The sequence below is a fragment of the Homo sapiens genome, chromosome 9 (genome assembly GCF_000001405.40).
Source record: "Homo sapiens chromosome 9, GRCh38.p14 Primary Assembly".
Classification (NCBI taxonomy): domain Eukaryota; kingdom Metazoa; phylum Chordata; class Mammalia; order Primates; family Hominidae; genus Homo; species Homo sapiens.
The window spans coordinates 21,679,102-21,686,743 of record NC_000009.12 but is presented as its reverse complement, the minus strand read 5'-3'; the positions used below and the strand labels follow the sequence as shown (position 1 = coordinate 21,686,743).

The following is a 7,642-nucleotide window of genomic DNA, read 5'->3' as shown; positions in this document are numbered from 1 at the left end:
CCCACAATGTTGAGCTTCAGGTTAAGTCTAAAATTAAGCATATTTCCTTTGCTGATTGGGAAATGAAAATAAATATGAGAGAGGCAAGAGGGAGCAAAGATTAAGCCTGATCTTTGTGAAGGAAAAAAGTTAATTCACGAAGATTATGTTTTCTCTGAAAGACTCACCTTTCCCCTTTACTCTGGCCTATATGAGTCAAAATTTTGGATGCTATTCTTAAGAATTCAGGTCATTTCTCTCTCTCCTTCTACTCTTTGCTCAGAAAAGCTTCAGACAAAGCCACTAAATTTACAAACTAAAATTCAGGTTGTGGGTGTGTGTATTTTTGTGTTCTCTGACATAAGAACAGACCAAACATATAGCACTCTTCAAGGACATAGGATAGATGAACATATGTTAATATACAACAGATGTCATGAGAAGCATGAAATACATTTCATGACTCCATAGTAAATTTTGTAAGTCATTGCCACAAGAATTGGTACATAATGAAAATATAAACGTTTGAAAAAGATGAATTCTTACATAAAAATAGATTCTTAATAATTTATGAAAGGTGAATTATTTGGATATATTCTTTGCCCCTTCGAAGTATGTGACAAGTAGGGTTTAGTCTAAAACAGAAACCTCTTTAGCTATTCAATCAGGAAATTTAATTTAGGGTTTACAAAACATTGTAAGACAAGAAAATCAGGGAAACTGCCACAAGTATTCAGGAAATCAGGTAAGGCAGGAGTTGCAGGGGACCTTCATCACCTGTCTCAGTTGTCTGAAGCACCTAAGTAGGTGATTTTCAGGCAGACCCCCAAAAGTCACTGGCAAAACCTCAGATCTGCTATCTGCCAGTGACCCTGTACCTGCTCACTAACTCCAGAGCAATAACAGTGCCTTCTCTTCCACCTTCTCGTGCAAGTGTCTCTCGTTAGAAGACCCTAAATCAGAGCACTACTTACAAGGAGTCTAGAAAACATAGCCTTTATGTTTCTGGGCCTTGCTTCCAGGGAGAGTGAAGAAGGCCCCATGCTGAGACACCAACAGACAATCCTGCTCCAAGTTGAAACCAGTGGAAACAGCGTACTTTTCCTCTGTTTTCTGCAAATGGACTCAATCCATTTAGGCTGAGGCAGGCGAATTCTAGCATGACCCAGTATACCAAACTGTTCTTATGAAAGAACCAGCCACTCCCAGAACCACCAGTGGGTTTAACAACCTTTTTTTTTTTACGGCGTTTTCATTCTCTTAATAAGACAATCCCAGTCTTCTTTTCACTCACATTCACTGATTCCTTTAAAGAGTTAATTCTGCTGAAAGGTCTTGCTCTATGTGTACATTTCTTAACTGGCATCCCTACTAAGAATAGGGAGCAATGAGGAAAGGTTGTGGAAACAAGGGAAAATTAGTTTATGCAAATAAGGCAGAATGATATTTTACCAGGCTGACACTAAATTTATCTTAGTAAGATTGGTATTACAGTATAGTCTAGCAATTTTCCTCCTGCATCTCTGAAACCTTCCTAGCCTGTGACTCAGTTTCCTACATTAAGGGGCTGTTGCCGCTGTAGTTAGGGTAGTCAGAGGAAGGAAATGCTTGCTCACCTTTGCTGTGTTTGGAATAACCACTCCACATCAAAGAGGTGACTCATTCTGTCCACTTGCCAGCTCTGAGCTTGCTTTCTACCTCCCACTACCCTTTCCTGGCTGTGCTGTTCTTGGCTGGAGAGACTTTTCACCAGCAAGTCCAGGTTTGTGGAGCCTGGCACACTTACCTCCCTGAATGATGAGGCTTTCCAAGGTGGGTTGCTCTACAGGTTGGGACCTGAAGGTGACCACCAGTTTGCCCAACCTACCATTCAAGGTGTATGACTCAAAGTCAAGAAGCTGGGCTTTACTGCTCCTCAAACAGCGAAAGGGAAATGAAATCATTTTATTTCCCCCTTCGTGTTAACAGTAAATATGTAAGCTGAAGATGTTATAAGTTCCTATTTTCATTGGATTTAGAGAAACATGTTGCTGCCTGGAATCACAGAAGCCATCAGGTTCATTTCAGTGAACTCGACAGTGTTACTGTAGTGTGGGGCAGATGGTAAATGCTCAGAAAATATTTATTCGTGTTAGATATACCTCTGTCTGGATGAAAACCATCTTGTGGTAAATAACTTCACTGTAGACATTCTTAGAGAGGGAAAATCCACACTTCATTTAATAAAATCCACTACAAGATTCAATATAGAGGAGAATGTGGGCATGGAAAAATAAAGGACTTTGGAATTAATAGAGATAGGTTTGAGATTAGATGCTCTGGGCAACTCCCTTACGTTCTTATCAAATAATGCAGTGTGTGGTAAAGGAGTCTGGAGTCAGATTGATCTGTTCTAGAATCTCAGAGGCCCACTTAATAGCTACATGGCTATTGACGGTTGACTTCCTTAATCTTCAGCTTCCTCATGTAATACATAGAGTAATAATGAAATTTTCCTCATAAGCTTGTTGTAAGGATTAAATAAGACAGTGCAAATAAATGTTCTAAACAGAGACCCTAGGACACAATTAGTATCCAATAAATTTTAGATATATTCTAAACTTGTTACCTAACTTGGAAAAAGAAAAAAATAAAACATGCCATACTCTGCTGCAAAGGGATTTTACAGATTCTGTGAACATGAAGAAAATGCCTCCCGAGTGTGATTTGTAAGCATTATCTAACTTGCTCATTGTCATGAGCCCATTCCTTTTCTCCAGCATTTGAATGTGGGCTTGCTGCTATTATCTTTTGGCATAGTCCTTGAAAATTTGCACATCGGTTTAACAGACCAGCATTTAGAATGTATGCACATGCACCCTGGAACTTATGGAAAAGAAAAAGGATGCTTAGAGCTCTTGATTACTTCCATTAATGATGAGTTTGACAACCTGCATCTGCAAAATCCTCAGATACTTTACCATTGAACGTTCACATTGCCAGCATTCCCTCATGCTTGGATATTTAGGGGAACTGAAATCGACTCCTGGTGGTAGATTGGTGGTCTTCCTTTGACAGACCCTCTTCAGCTTCTTATGGTGTTTTATTTGCTATTTAATGTTCTAAATAAAGAAGATTTTAATTTAAATTATTGGCATGAATTTTATCATTTCATCATATATCTTTATATTGAGCAATACCAGTTTGAAATGCATATATAAGAGCATTTAGTTTGAATATACCCATGTATTTCATTCTTACCAGAACAGTGAAAACACTCTACTCATTCAGCTGTTGTATTTCATATCTTAATATACTACACTCACATTCTGCCATCACTCTCTCCTTTCAACTTACGAATAAATAAGGAAAGACTTTTTAAAAAGTGTGTGCTGCCCTATTTTTCCGTTTCCTTCTTTGTAATAGTCCCTGGACTGACACCTGTTGAAACCAGACCCTTCCAGGATGGTACTGGCAGTAGAATGACCTGACCATGTTAGAGCAAAGCTCCTCTTTCCCCACCTTTCCTTTAAAGCAGCCGGTTAACCTTCTTTGGCCTGCTCTGCTAAGTAATAATGCTTCTGGGGCATTTGGAGAAGAATTGGTGTGAATGGGTTTATATATTACCCAGATGGCCTCACTATTACTCATAGTCAATTGGGAAATTTCCAACCATTTCTACTTCTAATTACCTAAGGGATTTGAACAGACATCTGCTATTGAGCTCATTTGAAAAGAGCATGTCTGAGTATTAGGTTTCACTCAACAAACATTAAGTGAGAACCATTAGTAAGGGAGTGGGGTGAAATAGAAGAAAGTCCTTCTGGTTTCACGAAAATATCAATTTAGGTTCAGTCCCCAATTCTGCCACTACTGTGTGTATAACCCTGAGAATGTCAACCTCAGAGCATCTTACTGATCTATAAAATAAAGTAATATCTCTTTTCAATGTTGTGAGGAATAAGAAATATTTTTGTGCTTAAAAACTCCTCAGTAGTAATAAGTGTTTAATAAATGGCAGCTGTTATTAGTGTTGCTTTCTTATTATTCTAAACTTTTCTAGCAAAAGGAAATGCTCAGAGAAACTGTCCGGTTCTTCTTTAGGTGTTCCTATCCCATAAGGCTGTTATATTTAATACAGAAAATGGGTGGAAAAATGCTTAGTAAAACAACAAATATAGAGTTACTATGGTTATTTGGAGAAAAGGCACTTAGAGCCTGAGAAACACTGTAGACTAGGCCAAATAGAGTGACTTTCCTTTGTTAGAATATAAGACAAGAGGACAAAAAAGGAATTAGCTTAGGGCATAGCTGAGATAATGTTTCTCATACGCTTCTTGGATTGATTTATTCTTTAATTGAAGCAATTCTAACATAAATTTTGTTTGGTGGTGTTTATGTGTACCTGTGTTCATGTGTGTATGTATGTGTGTGTGTGCCTCTGTGCATGTACACACTAAATATTTTTATTTGACTGAACAACTTTCGTTTTATTGATCTTAAGGATTAGGACACAAGAAGGAACAAGAAGGAAAGCTGGAGTTTGCTCTTAATATATTACTAAAAAAATGAAGCTAAAAATATCCTAATATTGCTAGCTGGATGCATTTACACATATTCTAAATCTATAAGGCTTAGGAAATTGCTTATACGAATACTCATTAATTCAGTCTATTCTTTGTCTCTGAGTAGTGGATAACCTTTTTGAAAAGTTGAATTTCTTTACTAACCTGGAAAAACCTACACTATTTGCAGAACATTTATTCTCCGTAAGCTATCCTGACTAAAAGTCTGGCATTAGGAATTGGCTGTGGCAACATAGGCCATGTGATAAGGGGGTTATTAGATTACCTGAATAATTCTATCAGTAAAGACAGCCTATGTAGGCATGTAACTCAGTCCTCTGAGCCTTGTGGTTAAGTTTTATTTGCTTGCCTTTCCTGGGTAATTACTCAGATTTCCTCATCACTTGGCTATATAGACATCGTGAAGATTTTTAGCTCAAGCTCAGAGAGTTAAGAAAGGCTGATTCGCATAATTGGTATTCTGCCTTTAAAACATCTATTCATTAATGCTTAAATGAATAATTTGCCTGAACTTGCCTTTTGAACTTTCTTGCGTGGGATGCTATTTGCCATCCATGACTATGAGGTTTTACAAGTCTACCTAGAAATACATAGCCTTCTTAAAGTCCTTTCTCCCTTCCTCTCCCTCTTCCTTCCTTGTTTTCTCCCTTTCTTTTTTTTCCTTCCAAATGTTTTTTATAGAATTATATAATGCTAGATCTTGACAGAACCATGGAAATTGTAAGTCTTCTAGTTTTTCACAAACTTCATTAATTCCTACACATGAATTTTAACATATCTAGTTATTTAATATTTTTTCTAAATAGATTATTTTTTTAAAAAACTAAAATATCCTTTAGATACCTTCTAAAAAACTATATTCAAGGATCATGGACTTAGTAGATTGACTATTTTTTCCTGATAAATAATAAAAGAAATGTGTATCAAGTCAAGTTTGGACATACACCACTTAAAATCATCTCAGTTAGCTTTCGGAAACACTGTCCCAGGCTTCAAATGAGAAAACTGAGGCCCAGAGAAATGTAGTGAAGTTTTCCAGAGGCCAATTAGGAATATAGCTAATAGTTGAAACCATGCTTTCGGATTCTTAAATCCAGGCCTTTCTTGGTGTAGCACACTGACTTGTGTTTCTTATCTATTTGTCAGGTTTTAAGAAATAATCACAAACTGTTACAGAAAAACCATCAGTAGGCATGCAGTGAAAACAGCCCATCTTCCTATTTATTTTTTCTTTAATACTTCTTAGGTCACCAAGTGCCACAGATGCAAGACAGTGGTCCTCAACAAAAGTACTTATATGGAGGTTCACAAAGACTTTCTAAGGGCATGGATAATGTTAAGGATGTTTTCACAGCCACACGTATCCTGTGAATTCTTTCCTAAAAAACGGTCTGTAGTTACAAAGAAGCCATGCTTTTCCTCCACCTGGAATCTTAATATGAAGCATTGTCTTGGAGGGAAAAACACTTCAGCTGGTGTAGGCGTGGAAGAGGGAGAGTTTCATGTCTGGGTAACAAATCACAGGGGGGCTCTAATTCTTTGCCTTCTGCTAAAATGAAGAAGGGCTAAACAAATTTTTCGCTGATAGATCTTTAAAAATACTTTTGCATTGACAGTAATTTTTGGCACAAAAGTTGTATAAAGGTCCAAGAATTAAACGTCATAACTGTAATTAAAAAGTGTTTTCATTCTCATTCATAAATAAAGGTTTTGTTTGTTTGTTTTAGCGTTTACCTCAGTTAAAATGACAAGAATAGAAGTAATATCAAACTCTAACTTATTCTAGCAATAAGTAGCATTCAGATACAGATCTATGAGGGAAAAACCAAAACCCGTTAAGAGATAATTTTGTTCTTTTAGATTTAATGTATACTTATCAATATTTTAATATTTTAATTAGTTATATTAAATGATTCAATAATAGAATGTATTTTGATACATTATTAATACATGCTTACTACTAATACTTGTAATATTACAGAAGAAATATTTTTTAACATTTACAACCTGTTAGGAAATTAAAAAATTATATTTCTTTTATATTTTTGCTGCAAAGAAGTATAACAGGGTCATTAGTAGAAGATTTAAGAATAAAATAAAATTATATTTTGTGAATTAAATTATATGAAATTTGGATAAAACTTGATGCGAAAGGGAACTTTTAAAATAGGCTTAAAAAATAGAGAGAAGATGTAAAATTTCCAGATGTTAATGAAGAGTTCATTTATGGATTGCTATTTTCTTAGATTTCTGATGACAGGAAATTAAATCACTTTCTTATCTAAATTTCATAAGATGCATTTTAAAATTATATAACAATTTTAAAACAATATAAAACGATCAATATTTAAGAAAAGTTGGAAGTTACACAATTTGTAATATTTACATTTTGGACAAATTTTAGATATCACTTTAAACTTTTGCAAGAGGTTATGGAGATTTTCATGTTCTTTTAAGGGGTAAATGAAGTTTGGAGAACATTGCTTTCAGGGCTGGAATCAGTTTCCTGGCTGCCAAATGCTCCTTAGGGAATTCTTAGCCTGATACTGGTTTCCAAGGAATGAATACAGTGACTGTCGAAAGGAGCACACTATCATCTGGGTGCTGCCAGGATTCTTGGGACAGTCTTTCAAATGTTCTGGACCCAGCTGAGCCTGGCTGCTCTGTGGTTTTTCTACCTGTCAGACTCATATCTGCAGAAAGTTCAAATTCTGTTAGGAAACTGCTCTAGTTATAAAGAAATCTTCTTCAGCTCCCCATACCACTGTAGATTGTAATGTCTATTTACCAGGTAAAATAAAATGGTTCTTTTCCACATTCTTATAAAAGTTAGAAAAATCCAAGGCAGATAAGAAAAACAGCAGCATGTATTTAAAATAGTTGCATATACAAATGTGTACTTTTAAAAATATGTGTAACCGTGACATTGTTGTTATTCAACTTTTGAAGTGTAATTTGGTATTAAAGTTCATGCTAAAGTTGTCTTTAAAATTCAGAACATAATACTTCACTCTAGTAAATTACTTATCTAATTCTGCTATCCCAGTGAAATACAAATTATTTATGACCTATTTCAGTAACATTATGTTTTGTATCAC

General features: G+C 35.6%; 1 annotated feature.

The window, feature by feature from the left end:
• Window positions 1,060-2,259: an enhancer, noted in NCBI's record as "CDK7 strongly-dependent group 2 enhancer chr9:21684484-21685683 (GRCh37/hg19 assembly coordinates)". NCBI's record gives its function as "activates an origin of replication core promoter dependent on BRD2, BRD4, P300/CBP, MED14 and CDK7 cofactors, with strong dependence on CDK7, by STARR-seq in HCT116 cells {active_cell/tissue: HCT116}" and the evidence as "EXISTENCE:reporter gene assay evidence [ECO:0000049][PMID:35650434]".